This window comes from Homo sapiens, chromosome 14 (genome assembly GCF_000001405.40).
Source record: "Homo sapiens chromosome 14, GRCh38.p14 Primary Assembly".
Classification (NCBI taxonomy): Eukaryota; Metazoa; Chordata; class Mammalia; order Primates; family Hominidae; genus Homo; species Homo sapiens.
Genome location: NC_000014.9, coordinates 54,609,499 through 54,627,884, shown reverse-complemented (window position 1 = coordinate 54,627,884; position 18,386 = coordinate 54,609,499). Strand labels below are relative to the sequence as shown.

General features: G+C 39.2%; 1 protein-coding gene and 1 long non-coding RNA gene across 17 annotated transcripts in view, besides 1 other annotated feature; both read right to left on the bottom strand.

The window, feature by feature from the left end:
• Nucleotides 1-18,386, bottom strand: part of SAMD4A (sterile alpha motif domain containing 4A) — a 228,000-nt gene that overhangs the window by 165,431 nt on the left and 44,183 nt on the right. The gene's annotated exons all lie outside the window — the stretch shown is intronic.
• The window catches only part of LOC112268133 (uncharacterized), a 64,608-nt gene that overhangs the window by 40,770 nt on the left and 5,452 nt on the right, over nucleotides 1-18,386 (bottom strand). Inside the window, exon 2 of the long non-coding RNA XR_002957606.2 lies at nucleotides 1-18,386. This exon is cut by the window's left edge and continues 40,770 nt beyond it. This is a non-coding gene — a long non-coding RNA (uncharacterized LOC112268133).
• Nucleotides 5,208-5,267: an enhancer, noted in NCBI's record as "active region_8413". NCBI's record gives its function as "activates an Ori minimal core promoter by ATAC-STARR-seq in GM12878 lymphoblastoid cells {active_cell/tissue: GM12878}" and the evidence as "EXISTENCE:reporter gene assay evidence [ECO:0000049][PMID:35858748]".

Below are 18,386 nucleotides of genomic sequence, written 5' to 3'. Positions count from 1 at the left end.
CTCACACTTCATTCAGCAAGTCAGGAAGTCAGCTGATTTCCTTTAAAACCCTCTCTGCATGAAACGAGCAATTGTCTAGTCTGGATTTTATACATAATATTACTTTTTGACCTGCAGTTTACAAATAAACTAACAGAGAGACACAGATAAAGCTTCGGCTTTCTCATCTCCCACTGGTTTAAAGGAGCAGGAGGAGGGCAAGGAAGGATGTAAAAAACTGCCTGGTAACCGAAAGACCTCATCTTCAACAATGACTTCTACCCTGCCCAGGCAGTAACAGCCGCTGACAAAAAGCTGAGCTGACTTGTTAGGGTCTCACACCACTGTTTTCCTGTCCACATTCTGGTAGAGCTTCTAAGGAATCTATCTGAAAGGCAAATCAGAGTCAAACACATACACAAACACAAATCAGGGATTAAGACTGTCTGTGTGCTAGATATTCAGGAGCTAGATCATCTAATGAATGGGCTAAAGAACGTTCTGGTAGGCTAGTCCAGGACAGGATCAGCCACGGAGCAGCAAATGTAACGGACAAGCTGCGTCTTTGAAAAACTACTCTGGTTAACCTTAGGACTCACATCTTAGGGGAGTTGTATGACAAAATTTCTTTAAAAAAAAAGTCAGAAGCACCCCTCAATCTGATTCTCTTTACTTTCTGTCCTTTTTACCTCTTTTTCCAAGACAGTTTTTCTGAGCTTGAGCTAGGGTAGGGTAAGTACTGAAGGAAAATTTAATTCCAGAGTCTGGGGGTTGGATGTAAAAAGGTAATGAGTTAGTTGAGTTATAGTTATGTAATTTTTCCGAATTTTTAAGGAAATAGCAATTGCTTAGAATTACAGAATAAGATTATATGGATGAACAGGTCAGAGAAATAAGATGTAATTGGGAGAAAAACCCTGAAGCAAGAGTCAGAAGACTCCAGTCCTTGGCTTGGCTCTCCCACTTACCCAGTCAAATAATCACGGACAAACTATTTAACTTCCCTGAACTTCTGTTTCTTCAGCTCTAAAATGGGTATAATAATGCCTGCCCTGACTTCAATTATGAGATCAAATGAAGTCACATATGTGCAAGTCTTCTGTAAACTATTAAGAACTTTTCAGTGAATGTATTGCTATTCTACCAGAATCCAGATGTGTTGAACAGAGAATTGCTGTTCTCCTGCTTGTATATCCCTCAGCCTCCATAGGAATTCCTTATATCTAGTAGGAAAAACAAACGCAACTGGAAACAAACATGTCCTAACTAAATATGCATATAGGAGGGGTTTTTAGTACAAGTTTCCAAAAGCAGGTTTAAGGGAGACCCGTTCGACTTGGAAAGTCAAAGTTGGCCATCACCTAGCAATCAGCAACGTATCCACAAGGTACCGAACACCTGTGGGCAAAGCCACTCTCCCTTCCTGAATGGCACCTTTATAATGAGAACACTCACTGTTGTGCAAGAGATAAGAAGTTTTAGTTCATAAAATTCTAGTTGGTAGCATGCCATGTCAATTAGCTTCTTACTCCATGTTCACAGCATTATCACTAAATTAGAACTAATTACCATCTCAATTGACAATTTAGAAGCCATTAAAATATAGATTAGCCTGAAAGAAATACAGTATCCTGTGGAAAGTGAAATTCTGATGGAGAAGAGATAAAGTCTAACATCTAACATTTACTGTGGTAATGACCCTGTAACTGGTGCTAAAACAGGATGTTAATTAAACTAGAGCCACTATTTTTCCTGACCTCCTGGAAGCTAGAGTCTAAAAAAAAACAAGATGTCTCTTTCTGTCCCTCATGCATGCACATGTGCGCACTCGCGCGCGCGCGCGCGCACACACACACACACACACACACACACACACACACACACACACACCTAGCAGTAGAGCTGCTATTCTGTAAGTATGTCCCACAGTCAACACCAAGCCTCGGTCAGGAGCTAAACACAGACTTTGCTTAGCATGCTTCGGAAACAACTAAAAGTTTGAAGCAGAAGTCAAGAGATACCAAATTAGAGCGGGACAATTTAAAGGTACAATGCATGGGGGAAATGAAGTAGGGAAGAAAATAGGCAAAGTCAAGTAAGAGTGACCATTAGTCATGAGCTGAACATGCCCCGTGAGCAAAGCTGCACAAGGTGAGTTCAAAATTTTGATTAAAAAATTTATTATAAAGCTCTTTTCCTTAGGTACTTTCTAAGTACTTTACATTTCAAACCAGCAGCTGCTTAACTATGTGGCCCTTTCTCTGAGAAACTTGCAAATATGGGGACACATTTTTAAAGAGGTATGGAGGGATTTAACATTACATTTTGTAAACATCACCTGGTGATCTGAAGAATCACAGTTTGTCAATAAACAAGCCCCACCTGGGTTCACAAACAAATCAAAATGGCTTTGCCAGGTTCTGGAAGGAAACTTATTCTTGCTATTTTCACTGCTGAACTTTCGGGCAGCTCATCTCAGAATGACAATGTTTACATTCCATTCCCTACAACCTCACACCCTGGTGCAGGGAAGACTAATGACAGAATGTCACGAAGCAGAAATGCAGAAACATAGGAGTAATTGCGCAGCAAGTCAGAGAGCTTTCGATCTGAATGCACGCAACAGCAGGAAAGCCCATTACTCCAACTGCTGAAATTATGTCTCACTGGAGTGAAGTCTACAGAAATATTTATAGAATTAGCAAAATACTATCATTGGCAGTTTTGGGGATTGCCTAATCTCCTGAAAACCTTTTATGGGCTGTGGGGAAAGAGCTGGGGGGAGGGGGACATAGGAAGCCATCCACCAGAAAAATGGTTAGGTGTTAAAAAAAAGAAATGATAACTTTGCCATAGTAGCACAGTGTTAAAGAAAGCATGGGAAACCAAATTCAGGTCATAAATTCATCCTGAAGCACACACTGACTGACTATTGCTGTCATTCCAGATATGTATTTCAAAGACTTCTATTAGTGACAAAATCCCTACATTTGCAAAGCATCCTGAAAGGTTGTATTTATTTTTCTGATACTTAAAAACAACAACAACAACAAAAACTGTATATCCGTGCTGTATCCTTTCTGATTTAGTTATTTATGGCCACTTACCTCCAAACAACAAAAAAAAAAATCTCTTCTCCCCAGGTTGCCCTTTATATTACAAAGTAATTATGGTGCTCACCAACTGAATTTAGTAATTGAGGATAATTGTATAGCCATATAAGTAAAACTATTTGCTTTCTTGCCAATTTGGTCAGTTTTCAGTCTATTAACAATCACAAGCAACTCAGAGAGGAGACAGCATTTACTTTTGAATCTCAACTACATGCTTTTTACCAAACTTCAGTCAGCACATCATTTGTGCTCAGTTAAATTGGTTGTTGCTGAAATTCCCCGCTAGCATTGAAATAGCTGTCAGGGCAGGTAGTCTTCGAAAGTTCTTAGATCTGCACTGTTTGGGCTCCTTGGCTCAGTCAGGGTTTGTGTAATAAGGGTCAATGGAGGTGGTTCCGAAAGAGAAATATACAGAGCCCTTCCGTGATGTCTGATGCCTTCTTTTTCTTTCCCACATCGCACACTGGCATGTAAGTTATCACGTGACCGGAGAGGGCATAATAGAAATTAAATAAGAGTGGGCCGGGCGCGGTGGCTTGCGCCTGTAATCCCAGCACTTTGGGAGGCCAAGGTGGGTGGATCACAAGGTCAGGAATTCGAGACCAGCCTGGCCAACATGGTGAAACCCTGTCTCTACTAAAAATACAAAAATTAGACGGGCGCGGTGGCAGGCGCCTGTGCTCCAGCTACTCGGGAGGCTGAGACAAGTGAATCGCTAGAACCCGGGAGGCGGAGTTTGCAGTGAGCCAAGATCGCGCCACCGCACTCCAGCCTGAGCAAGAGTGAGACTCCATCTCAAAAAGAAAAAAAAAAGGAATTAAATAAGAGTGGATGAAATCAAACCAGTTCCTCTCAGATACTGTCTGTTAGATTGTCCCCTCACACTAACTTATGAAAACAGAACCATTCTTCTCTTTTCTTCCTGGTTAAGTTAGAGGAGAAGGGGCCCTGGGCAGCCATAGTCCATTTCCTTCTAATGTTTCAGGAAGAATGGAAAGAATGATAACATTCTAGGTCAAGAGACTCTAAAAGAGGTTTTGCAGTAATAACTGGGACCTCCCATGTTGTTATCCCCCAGCTATGTTCAGAACATTTCTACATGGATACCTATCCTTCCCTCGAATTCAGCAAGTGCAAATTAGGCATATCCTTGTCCCCACCCTCCCCAACTGATCCCTACCTTGGCTTCTTTATTTCTACCAACAGAATTAGCCATTATTTTTCCAGTGGCCAACAATTAATACTTTGGAATAATCTTTTATACCTTTCCTCCCCCTGCTTTTTTTTTTTTTTTTTTTTTTTTTTTTTTGCTGATGTCCAAGTTATTTATTAACAGAGGGGTCATCACAGTTGTTGGTTATATTCACAGACTCAGCTGTGACTATAAATGCTCTCCAACCTGCTCAGGGTCTTTAATGAATGGAAGTGGGCTTTGTGAGACTAAAAACAATTTGGAAAGTTCATGAAGATTACACTGAGGCCCTATTGAGAAGCTGGAAGTGGGAGCAATAAGATGGCCCTCTGAGAGCAAAAACATAGGAGCAATACCAGGTATAGATGGGCAGACCAGCAGAGATGCCTCATGGGACCACAAAGCAGCAAGGCCATCAGGGTCTCAGAAGAAAGAGGGCTGGCCTGATGTGGGAACAGGGCAAGGAGAGTCCCTGGGGGATACACTGGCAGAACCCACACAAGCCCCGGCAGGGCTGGTGCACTCATGGGAGCTGGGAGAAGAGTGTTAAACCAAACAGGTCCTGCCCTCACAGGGCTGACAGTCTAGTGGAGGTGACGGAAAACAACCAATCCTAGAACACTTTCATTTTCAGGTGACATTCAGACCGATCGGCCTAAGATGGCTGTAAAAAGTGCTTCTCAGACTTTAACATGTATACCTGGGGTTCTTGTTGAAATGCAGGTTCTGATTCAGCAGGGCTAGGGTGGGGCCTGAGAATCTGTGTATCTAACACCTCCCAGGTGATGCCACCAGTGCTGCTGATGCACAGACACCCTTTGAGGAGCAAAACTCCCCACGCCTACGCTGCACGACAGACCAGTCAAATCAGAACCATGAGGGCTGAAACCAGAAATTAGTGATGTCAAAGCTCCAGGAGGATTCCTAGGGGAGCCACAGTTGTGACCCACAGGCCCAGATGCTTATCCAGGGGCAGGAGTCCTCTCTCAGCCCAAATCACTGCTCTTCACACTCAGGAACAAATCAACAAAGCTCTTTCTACGGAGGCCTGGGCTATTTCTATTTTTTCAAAGTTCTTCAGTGCCAAAGCAGAATTACCCAAATGTGACATATTTTAAATGTTCACATTTATCAAGTCAGTGCCTTTAACACAAAGCACAACTTTATGTATAAGCTCATTTGAAGATAACATCACACGCCTGCCTCTGAGGCCCATCATAATCCTACATCCTGCTTCCCTAGATAGGCCCTGAACAGTCCCTCCATTCGTTGCCTGGTTATCTGAGAAGAGTTTTCTCTAAGAATGACCACGTATTAAGAACACAAATGGAAGACAGACATTTATAACCACTGCTTTCCAGTAAAACATCAAAGTTGATGTAACAAACTCTAAATGATTAATTTCTAATTTATACAAAATATAACATTAATATAAAGAAAAATGCTTTTCTCCCCATTAACAAGACTTATCCTGGTGTCCCTACCACAAAATATTCCCATTCAAGAAAATTCATTTCTTGAGTGAAAATCATCAAGACTGTGTGTAGGTAGGACATTTTTATACATGAAAAATCAGCAAAATACTTCATTTGCTCTAGAGAAAAATGTTTATTATTCTAGTCCTAAATTTCATATAATATGAGTAACACAAAATACAATACACAATGAGTAAGGATATTTTTAAAAGATGAGTTGTTTCTCCCCAAAACACTCCCCCCTCCTGCTTTGCTGGCATTAACAGATATGAGTCTAGTTGAACTTGGACACACTTACAAAACCAGAAGATTTTGCCTTTTATCTCTCAGATAATGCATAAGAAAGCATCAATGTCCTGTAAATATTAGGGGATAGATTTATTTTCTTTGGGTAAAGGAGACCAGTAAAGAAAGAATCTGGTCTAGAATATGGGAATGCTTATGTACATCAAAAATGCGTTTTGAGCTGGGCACAGTGGCTCACGGCTATAATCCCAGCACTGTGGGAAGCTGAGGCGGGTGGATAGCTTGAGCCCAGAAGTTCGAGACTAGCCTGGGCAACATGGTGAGACCCTGTCTCTACTAAAAATACCAAAAAAAAAAAAAAAATTATTTGGGCATGGTGGTGCCCGCCTATAGTCCCAGCTACGCAGGAAGCTGAGGTGGGAGAATCACTTCAGCCTAGCGGATGGAGGTCGCAGTGAGCTGAGATCATGCCACTGCACTCCAGCCTGGGGGACACAGCGAGACCCTGTCTCAAAACACAAAACAAAACAAACAAAATATGTTCTGAGAACAAACACATAGAGAGTGGTCTTCAGGCATTTTTAACCAGGAGGGTCTTGCTTTGTGACATCTGGGCTGTCTGTGGTGAGTGCCAGTGAGGGAAGACTACTCTCTGATTGTCATGTTTGAATTCAAGAGTTGCTATTTGAAAAGTTGGAAAGGAAATCAGGGAGTTGAAATGCACAAAACCTTCGCCTTAAAGGTCGTGCCTACCAAACAGCCCTAAGATGTCAGCCCTTCCTGTCTCCTTTCTCCACCTGCTCAAAAGCAAATGTCAGTGGCTCTCATGCCTATAATCCCAGAACTTTAGGAGGCCAAGGATGGAGGCTCACTTGAGGCCAGGAGTTTGAGAGACCAGCCCAAGCAACACAGCAAGACAAAAAAATGTTTCATCTCTACAAAAGAATTTTAAAATCAGCCAGCATGGTGGTGTGTACCTGCAGTCCCAGCTATTTGGGAGGCTGAGGCAGGAGGATGGCTTGAACCCAGGAGTTCAAGTTTACAGTGAGCTATGATTGTGCTACTGCACTCCAACCTGGCAGACAAAGTGAGACTCTGTCTCTAAAATAAATAAATAAATGAATGGAGCAATGATTTTTTTCTAGGTTCAATTTTAAATTACAGACAAGTTTGCTCAGAAAACACCACAGTTTCAAACACATGTCCCTTACGACTTCTTTCCTGCCTGGTTTAATTTCAATTTTAAAATAAAGATCTCAGACCTAAAAACAGCCTAAAACACTCTGCCCTATACCACGAGAAGCTGTTCTTAACCTGACAAGGCAGAGCCAGAGCCATATAAATCTGTGGCATTTATTATCATTTGCCTCATTTGGAGATCTTCTGGGTCTACAGCCATGTGAGCGGGAAGGAATGCCACAACTATTCTGTTCACTTGGCATTTTATGCAGGCCTTACCAGCATTGCTGTGGGGATCCTACTGACCTAGTTTTGATAATGATGATGATGATGATGATGATGATGCTCCAACATGGTGCTTATTTTTGTTGGAGGCACTGTTATGGACAGTTTTCTGTTTGCTTTTTCTTTTAATCCTCAAAACAACCCTATGAGGGGGTTACTGACACTAGGCCCCCTTTGCAGATGGGTTTTGGCTCAGCGGCTGCTAACTGTGAGACCTGGGGCAAGGTAGTTAAATTCCCAAGCCTTCTGTTTCAACATCTAAAAAGTAAGGGTTATAATAATGCCAACCTCATGAAATAATGTATATAAGGCTCACACAGGCCTAGAATGTACGTAACACCCACCCAAGAGTAGCCATCAGTTTTAGTTGGATGACTGGTAGAAGAAATGCTAAATTTAAGGTCATCTAGATGATAGAAGTTCCCCTGAGATCAATTAAAAAAAAGAAAAAAAAAGTCTTTCAAGTCCAAAGGAAAATAAACAATACTTTAAAAAATTAACTGACTTACCTGACCCTGTTTTTGTCTTTCAGTTAAAACAAAATAGGCTGAGTACATATACACCATGAAATACTATGCAGCCATAAAAAAGAACAAGATCATGTCCTTCGCAGGAACATGGATGGAGCTGGAGGCCATCATCCTTAGCAAACGAAAGCAGGAACAGAAACCAAATACCGCATGTTCTCACTTACCAGTGGGAGCTACATGATGAGAACACTTGGACACATAGAGGGGAACAACAGACACTGGGACCTATCAGAGTGGAGAGGGTGGGAGGATCAGGAAAAATAACTAGTGGGCACAAGGCCTATATAACAAAACCTGCACATGTACCCCTGAACTTAAAAGTTTAAAAAATTAAATTAAAAAAAATGATTAAAACAAAAAAGGTTATCCCTAGCCAAGGCACAGTCCCCTCCCCAATTTCTTAACATGCCCTTGGTTAAACTTGTTATAGTCATTCCCTCTAAGAATATGTTACATAGGGAAAAAACACCTGCTATGTGAAATGGGCTGAGCACTAAGTTACAGCATATAGACACAGTCAGAAAAGAAAAATGTAGATGAGAAGGCAAGAGCTCAAGATTACTCCTCCTACCCCGAGGGATTAAAGAATTTTAAATAGAATTTTGGATAGGATGAAAAGAAAGTTATCATTTTCAAAGTCTTGATAACAACCATATCTGAATTAAGAAACTGATTTTGATGAATTAACATTTTGACTTAAAATAATTACCTATTAGTTGTATCAGGAGATTATCATCCTTAGCAATTTTCCCACTTACAGTTCATTCTATTTTAAATCATTGTTAAGAATGCATTTGATGGCAGTTGTCTACACATTGGAAATGATTCTATAAATTTACCCTCAAAACATTTTTAAAGGGACATATATTTGATTAATAAAGGGGCTCTTTTTTTCTTTCTATACAAAAAATCAAATTTTTGGCATTTTTAAAGACATGACTTTTTTATGATGCTAGTCCTACTATATAGTTAGCCTTAGGAGAAATCATATTGCTTTATAGAGATCCAATAAATAACTGAAGTAAAACATTTTTCTTTCCTGCCCAAGATATCTTTGAGTAAATAATTTTTCCAAAATACAAGTGCTAGCTTAAAAATAAAACAAACGACAGGAAAAGGGGGAAAAGAAATGCATTTTGTCAGTGATTGGCCAACTTCTCTGAGAACAAGCAAGAAGCAGCCCTGAGGAAATACACCTTAGTAACTTGGTAACTCTCCAAACTCTAGAAAGACCTGTCCCCAGAAGGATCTACTAAATCAAACAGACATTGTAAAATATACTCAAAGACATATTTATCTATTCTAAACTTGACTTAAATTCTTCAGTTGATTTTCAAGTTTAAAGAGAAATTTGATAAATGCTTAGATGGAGATGGTTTGGCTAAACCTGTGATTTCTCAAAGTCAAAGACCTTACCTGATATTTCCTTTGTGATTGCTTCTCAGTAGATACTGCTGAAAAATCTAAGAACTGTAAATTTATTATCTCTTGGTTTTTAAGCAGTAGTAAATATTTTAACAACTGGTTCTCATGGGGCAGAGGGATGGATTTGTAGCATATGCCAATTTCCTTGGTGTAAATACTCCTAACATGGCTGATTTCAGACTACCAAGGTGAAAGCATAGTTGGAAAAAGCTGTGCATGATCAGCTCACGGGAGCTGGTGGGAGGCGGCTCCAGCACACCACTGGAAATAAAGTACATCAGCAATACCATATAGCTCCATGCCAATTTTAATCTGAGTTGCACCAGAAGCCATCTTACTCAAGTTGAGAGTATTTAATATTTTATTCTTACAAAGTTTGTCACCAAAATATTGATAATTTTGGGCACAATCAATTGCAAACTCCTTCGGGAAAAAACATGGTAATAAATAGAATGGCTTCTTAAAGATCAAATTATATCATACTAATCTTCTCCAATAACTCAGGGCCAGGCCTAAAAGGCATCATCTATTTCGATGTCAGGAAGGCTTTGAGTTTTTTTCCAACCAGTGTAGTTATCAATAAAGTTGTGAAAACAATTTATATCACGGCTAAAATAAGGCACCCAACTTTCAAGAAATTCACAAGCTAGGCATGGTTATGAGTGCAGAGAAATGAATTGTTGTGGGAACACCTGTTAAATGGTGATCCAGGTGCACTTTAAAGTTGTCATCAGTAGGGCCTGAGTACTAATTCTGTAGTGTGAGTAGTGGCAGTGAGAACTCCAATGGAGGAAGAGGTCGAAAGATTTCTTAAAATTAATCATGAAATCTAATGACTCATCAAACTGACTGCATGCAATATCAGTACACGGAATACAAGACATTTGTTCATTTTCTCAATTTCAAAGAAGACAAAAATGTGAAGCCACTAGGGACCTGGCCAACTTAAAATGTCTTCCTTGCTCCCCCACTTTTCTCTGAAAAAAAAAGGGAAAGATTCTCTCCTTACAGATTCTTTCTTACAGAATTCTAGCAAACCTACCCTGAACTTTGAGTGAAGAAAATGGTTCAGTGCTTTCAATATTAATAGGAATTCACATATGCATGTTCTTGTAATATAGTTTGTTGATCATTTGTATGTTTTAATGCACAGTTATATTTACTTTTGTTGAAAGAGTCCAGTGTATTTGGGGAATCACAATCCTTCCATATACAGTTAAGAAAGAAATACCATATTTTATCCTACGAATACATTATTTCAAGGAAATGAATGAGCCTTCCATCTTCCCTCCTTTATTCTCATAGAATTGTAAAGAATATTACTATATTTAAACATCACCACACAATTAAATATTTAATTTTGAAGCCTTTAAAAATCCCATGGTTTTTAAATATATATTTGTATATTTGTAATTCATCAGGGTTTGAATAAATTGTTTGATACATAAGTAAAACAAGAATAAATTTTACCCTCAAAGGTAAATTGGCTGGAAATAATTTGAGGTCCAGGCTTCTTCAGCTTTCACTAGGTCATATTCAAAATTCTTATTTTGTAATTAAAGGACAGTATTTCTTCATTAGTACCTCATTAAATGGAATTTTCCATGTCTTTAAATTCAGAATTCCTGTTACGTACATTGCTACTTCAGAAAATTGGAGTGAAAATAAAAACTACAAGGTTGGTGACCAGATAGGCATTAAAAGACTTTAAATTGTCCAAACAAAATAATTATTAATAAATCAATAAGTTTAATTCTATGGAAACATAGCTTAACCAAAGGAATTCACAACTATTGGGTTCCATATTATTAAGTAATGGAGTGAGCCAATAATGGTAATTATGACTATATCTGCTTATCTAAAGATAGAACAATTTGTTTGGGATTATGTGGGATATCACCTTGCCAGCTTGGGGCCTCAACCAGGAGGGAGCCTTCCCACGTTCCCATGCTTTAAAGAGCACTGATGGACACAACCATCAAGACACACACAGCTACATACAATGATACGAAGTCCTCACTGGCAGAATAGGCTTCTAATGCAATGAAAAAGGCAAATAAGAGTAGTGTATTAGTATGTGATCTTTTCTGCAGATGTGTCTGTTTTTGAAAGTTTTAAGAACTTCTAAAGAATCAAAAAGAAAAAAAATAGGCATTGTCCCATAATTCAATAGTTATAGAAAGGTATTTCCCCCTAGAATATAAGAAAGTGTGGGGTTAACGCTGAATAGTTTTAAAGAGAACAATAAAGACAGGTATAAAATGTGCATGAGCAGAGGGAGCAAGGCAATTTATAATCTTTCCTATGGGAAGGTTTATGTTTCCATTCTTGAGATGAAACTTAAATAGAGGAAGCTATTTGCCTGCAGTTATCTTCTCTAGAAATAGTGTGTGATTTTATAGAGTCACATGGGATACACCATATATTAGATAGCTACTTATAAATACAAGTAAATTTTACCTGAAAGGGGATGGAATACAGCAAACTTTTATTTTTACATAGGAAATTTCTGATAAGAGAATTTTTCCCACTCACTTCTATTTTATAATTAAATCTGTCTTCTATCGGGGGGGAGGGGAGGGTCCCTATACGTATTAAAATAATGGAGTAAAGCATTTTTAAATATTATATTTTTAGAGCCCGTGCTCTCACTTTAAGTAATATTTTAATGCTTAAAATATTAGTAATACCATCTATTTCAAGAAAGTCACTAAATAAAAATGGTAAACATTAAAATAGAGAACATTGAGTAAATGCGGTTCATTTAACAAAATAAAAAGAATAAACACAACAACAGAATGACTTGTGTTCTAAAAGTTCATTTATAAATAGGTTGTGTGGAACCTGGAACACCCTTTTAAGAAATCATGCTATAAGAGGTGATCAGGGACCTATGTCAATCCACAAACATCTGCTTAGCCCAGGATGTTCCTGAAACATAGTACTTACAGTGCCATCAATTCTAAAGGACCACAGGTATTTCCGTGTGAAATAATTCAGAGTTGCAACTTGAGGAGTCAAATACATCTCCTGTGCTCTGAACATGTATTTTTCATGGACCAAGAGACGTGGTTCATGTAAACATTGGCAGAGGTTTTGTATTGTTAGGAAAAGGAATAGAATTAAGTGTCATCACTTACTGATCACATAATCTCAGGTATTTCCTCAACTGCAAAATGGAAGTAATGACATCTGCCCTACTTACTTTAAGAGGTTTGCTGTGTGAGAATTAAATGAGGTAAAGCAGCCAAAAATTGCCATGTAAATTATAAAGCTGCATCCCACCTCTCCAGGTGGGTCAGTCTTCATTGACAGATGACCAAGAGTGCCAGGGAGGCTGGGCAACTTTCCAAGGTTCCAGGTGAACTTGTCAGAAGCCAAGAGAAGGTGCCAGGACTCAACTTCTCAGCCATCTCCTCTTCACTAGATACATGGCATCTGACCACCCTTTTGTTAGTTAATCTTAATTAAACACACACTGGGCATACTACCAAAGAAAGATGGTGCAGTAAGAATGGCACATTTTGAGATGATTGAGCTGAACTCAAAAGAACCAGGTCCCATCCTGGTCTCCCCTCTGACTTGAGGACTTCATTAGACAATCACAGAGCCACTTCCCATGTCACAGGTCTCTCTCTAAATCGGGAGAAAACAGTGGGTTTCTCCAGTCTTCCTCTCAGGAAGTGGGTACTTTGGCCTTTATTTTATAAATAACTGAGAATCAATGAAATTTTTGTTGTAAGGCTTTGCATTCCTGAGGCAAAAAAGGGCAAAACCACTTGCTTTTATTAAACTATTATAGGCAACCTGAAACACTTTATGAAAACAAAATAGATAGTATTTAAATGTTTCTCACGTTTATAGAAAGAGGAGGGAAAGGTGCCGACCACTGGCACAGAAGAAAGAAGAGGCCCAGATAAGTGCTCTTAAAAGTCCCTTTTGTTATTAATACCCAAGTTTATGGTATGCATTCGTGTCATTAAACAAACAGAATTTTTCCAGTATCCAAACAAATGCTTACTTTAAAGCCATGGTCCTCAAACTTTTTAGTCTTTAGACCCATTTACACTCTTAAAAATTACTGATAACACCAAAGAGTTTTGTTTATGTGGATTATAACTGAGATGAACCATATTACAAAACCAAGAAACTTAAAAAATATGTATTCATTAATTTATTTTAAAATAACAATAACCCCATTATATGTTAACATAAATTACATGTTTTATGAAAAAAATTATCTTTTCCAGAAAAAAACTTTGTGAGAAGAGCCACAGTTTTTAAATTTTTACAAAACTCTTTCATGTATCTGTTAATTGCAGTCAGCTAGATTCTCATATCTCCTTCTGCATTCAATCTGTTAGGATATGCTCTTTAAAGTATATAAAGAAAATCCAGGCTCACAGAAATGTAGATGGAAAAGGAAGCAGTATTTCAATAGCCTTCTTAGACAATTGTTGATGTTCTTTGACGGACACTAAAACTTGACAACTGGTCGTTTCTTAAAGGTTACTTGCGACATGGAATCTAAAATCTTACGGGTGAATTTGTACTCTGTACACTCGTGAGGTAACACGAGCAAAAAAGAGCAAACAATGTCTTAGCGTTATTGTGAAAACGGGTTTGACCTTGCAGATCCTCTGAAAGGACCTTAGGGACCTTTGAGTCCCTACCACACTTTGAGAACTTCACTTTAAAGATACAAATTGTCTTATGATGTGTAATCGATGGAGTAAAAGCAATACCATGTGAAACTTAAGGAACAAGGTGAAATAATCTTGCAAAGAAGGGATAGAAGAAAGATCAAATGCAAACATATCATTCATCCCATCTTCTAACTTCACGTCCTGGGAACTGGAAGACAGACACTATAAGTCAGGAGTGCAGAGAAATGGCCTTAGCTGGAGTTTTGGAATAGAGGTTGCACCATAATGGCTCAAACATCTCAGAGAAGGTAACTTTTTCAACAATAGGTGAGAACCCTTGGGTGAATTGTAAAGATATTTTTATTACATCAGGACTGTTCATAACCAGCCCTAGCCCTTTAAACCAGCCTGGCATATCACACACAATGAACCTACTTACCAGTAGAGGTGATACCTGCTACCTGCTTCATTTCACCCTAACCTGCTCCCACCTCCCTCTGGTCTCCACCCGGCCCCTGCACCAAGCCTTCTGATCCTGCATGCATTTCTATTGTTGTCAGAATCAGTGAGCATCTCTGCTCTCCTTGGCTTCACTTTCTTTTCTTTCCTTTCCTTCCCTTTCCTTCCTTCTCTTCCTTCCTTTTCCCTTTCCCTCTTCCTTCCTTCCTTCCTTCCTTTCTCTCTCTCTCTTTTTCTTTCTTGATGGAGTCTCGCTCTGTCACCAGGCTGGAGTGCAGTGGCGTGATCTCAACTCACTGCAACCTCCGCCTCCCAGGTTCAAGCCATTCTCCTGCCTCAGCCTCCCGAGTAGCTGGGACTACAGGTGCATGCCACCATGCCCAGCTAATTTTTGTATTTTTAGTAGAGACAGGGTTTCACCATGTTGGCCAGGATGGTCTTGATCTCTTGACCTCGTAATCCATCTGCCTCAGCCTCCCAAAGTGCTGGGATTACAGGCGTGAGCCACCATGCCCGGCCGGCTTTCACTTTCTCTGAGGAATGCAGCTCTTTCTGCTACTGACTGCCTCGGGTAGTCTTCCCACCCCATCTTCTATGCCAATTTTAGCCCCTTATACCCAAATCCTAGCACGCAGATGGATGAGGGTGGGTGCAACTGCTTTGAATGGGTCATTTGAAAAAAACAGATGTTTTTCAGTCTTCTTGTACAAATTTTTCTTTTTGCCTGTTTCTTAGCATAGCACAACAGAGAACATGGAAATAAGTCATTTTCATGCTATTAGCACATTTAGGAAACAGGCTTCTACAGTAATTAAACTAATGAAGATGACCCTAGATTCAAGAAACAGAAATTAGAGTTGACTGAACAGGCATTAGGGGAAATGAAGACATTCACATTCAAAAAAAGATGAGATTTTAAAATAAGAAATCAAATTAATAATAGCCCAAACTCTATCAAGCAGGAAAGAGCTTCTAATGACTCAAAGAAGACTTGGAGACATATGTAGATTAGTCTATCATATTCAAGTGAATATAAAAATGATGGTATCTTATCATAAAAATAAGAACATTAAGGGACAGACTGAAGGAAAGCAAAAAAGTAGAAGAAACTGGCTAACTATATACAACTTAAACCAAAATGGAAAGGCTTTTCTTTGAAAAAAAACTTTTTCTCCATGTAAATTTTTAGTTGTTATTTTCCAAACATCAACAACCAGCTTTTAAAGTAGCAACTCAAATCCACTGCAGTAAATAAATGCAATTCAGAAACAAACAGAAGCTCCATTCCAGTGGTGCAAGGCCCCCATCACTGCCCATCTGGCTCCCTTCAGTAAATAACTGTGCGGCTCTGGTGTCAATCAGGGTGACGGCATGATCAGAGGATTTCTATCTGCAGTTTGAGTAGATCTATCTCTGGTAATCATTAGCAATGACAACAGTTATTACTGGCTTCTTTTCTTTTTTCTTTTTTTTTTTTTTTAGACAGAGTCTCACTCTGTCACCCAGGCTGAAATGCAGTGGCGCAATCTCATCTGACTGCAACCTCCACCTCCCGGGTTCAAGTGATTCTCATGCCTCAGCCTCCTGAGTAGCTGGGATTACAGGCATTTGCCACCAAGCCCAGCTTATTTTTGTATTTTTAGTAGAGATGGGGTTTCACCATGTTATCCAGGCTGGTCTCGAACTCTTGACCTCAAGTCATCTGCCCACCTCGGCCTCCCAAAGTGCTGGGATTACAGGCATGAGCCACTGCGCCTGGCCCCAACTGGCTTATTTTCTGTCAAACTCAGTGTTTGATAGAAACAGTCTAGTATGTCAGGTTCTCTTTTTAACCTTACTGATTCCAGAGGCCACAATGGAGGGGAAAAGGCTAGCATAAGGAAGAGTTTCCTCAAATGCCTTCTCTAGGCTACGATTTTTATGTAAAGGCTGATTAAGTGGTTTGCTGGGATCTGGAGCTGCCCAAGGAATTTCTGCCCACTCGGAAGGCCACTGGTGTCCTGAGTGTTGCTCATTCAGCAGAATGAAGCGCTCTGTCAAGCTGTGAAGGCCACTGGTGGGGGAAAGAGGGAATATGCTCATTCTTGTTATTGCTGTTGCTATTAATAAACAGGGCTTTATGGATTAAAAGGGGAGAGAGCTATGACATTATTAACATTAATTCTTCTTCATTAACTAATCTTTGAATTTTTTAGGTTTTTTTTTCTCTTTAGGACACATAAGCCCAGCCAAGATTCAAAGGCTTCCTTTTATAAACTAAAGTACAATATTTCTGTGTCATTATTATATATAGCCTTGAGTAATCACAATTAATGTGATTTTTAATGCACAAATTAAACATGCTATAAACTCTAATGATGATCATGCAGGATTTTGATCACTATCATCATTAGGTGAAACCTCAGAAAAAAATGTAAGCCTATCATGGGTCCTAACAGCTTTTTATTTTAATTCTACAGATTTGGGCATATTGGCTGTTGAGAGAGAGAAAACCAAAACCTTCTCTTTTTCCATCTGGCTATGAGTGCTTTTCATAGCTTATTTTTTCCACACTCACCCCTAAAAAATGCACTGGAGCTGAGCTATTGTAAGAATGTGTCAGATTCAAATGATTATATCATTGACTATCTGCTATTTCACAGGAGAACTGAACTGTCTGACTTTTTAAAAAACTCAGCACGGACTTTATAGTAGCGAGACTTTATCAACAGTGAGTTAGTGTTACAGGTGACTTGGCTCATAAAAAATTAAAAGCTTCAGAAATTAACTTTATCACAGAAAACATTTAGTCATAAGCAACCCCCAGTTGTAGAGGCAGAGAACCAAAGATCAGAGATATGTGCCAAAAAATACTTTTCAGACCCCGAGCAAAGAGAATAGTAAGAGCTGGTGTCAGCCCATTGCGGTGCCAGGCTGAGCTAGCTGGTAAGGTCTCTGGTAAAGAAAACGCTTTTCTGGGACGACTATAATGGGCACTCTGTGAGCTCCGGGGCCTGGAGTTGCTTTTCGACAGATGACTTTGTTCCTTCTTTACATGGTAAAGTTCAGTTTATATTTTTGTAGAAATACATTCTTGACATTTCCAATGAAAATGCTGACTTGGTCGCATTTTAGTTTCATTCTAATTGGAAGAAATGAGCCCTCGCTTGTTTGGAAAACAAAAGGCTACGAAAACTCGTGTTCATTTTGGGAACTTTTATTAAGTATTCAAAACAGAATGAAAGTGATCTAGTTCTGGAAAAGCAGGGTCATATCTAAAATTAAAAACAAAAACTAGGTTGCTGAGAGAGATCAAAAGACAAAAGGAATTCACTAAGCAGATGAAAGTTAAAAACACGGCATATATAACCTCATCACCTGAGGTACGCTGATTTAATATCAGCAGCGCCAACAAAAAAAGTAAAATCATAATGGGCTCCCATCTCTCCAAAAGCAAATCAATGCCTCATTGTGAAAAGAAACCCACAAAGAGATGGTGATTTTACTTTTATTTCAAAGACCAAATAAAGTCTTTGGTCCTGTAAGCAAGTTTTAATACTGTAACAAGATTGCTAACTTTTGCTGTCAGTCTGACTCATAAAGGACTTAATTACTTTTTTCGACAGTCAAGAAGGGTCCACTCAGAGAAATTGTGTGGCAGAGAAAAAAGGGCAGCGTGGCCAAGAGGAACCTGTAATGATGCACTCGTCAATTACAGCTATTTCTTTCAAACTTGTCTTGTTAAATTTACCTTCCTTTCCAGACGTCATAAATTAGCCCTCCATTAAAGCATCTGAATGCCAAACAGTACATTATTCTTCACAAGGTGACCATCAGGAGCAGGCTATGCTGGAATTGTATTCTTTTCCAATTGGCTG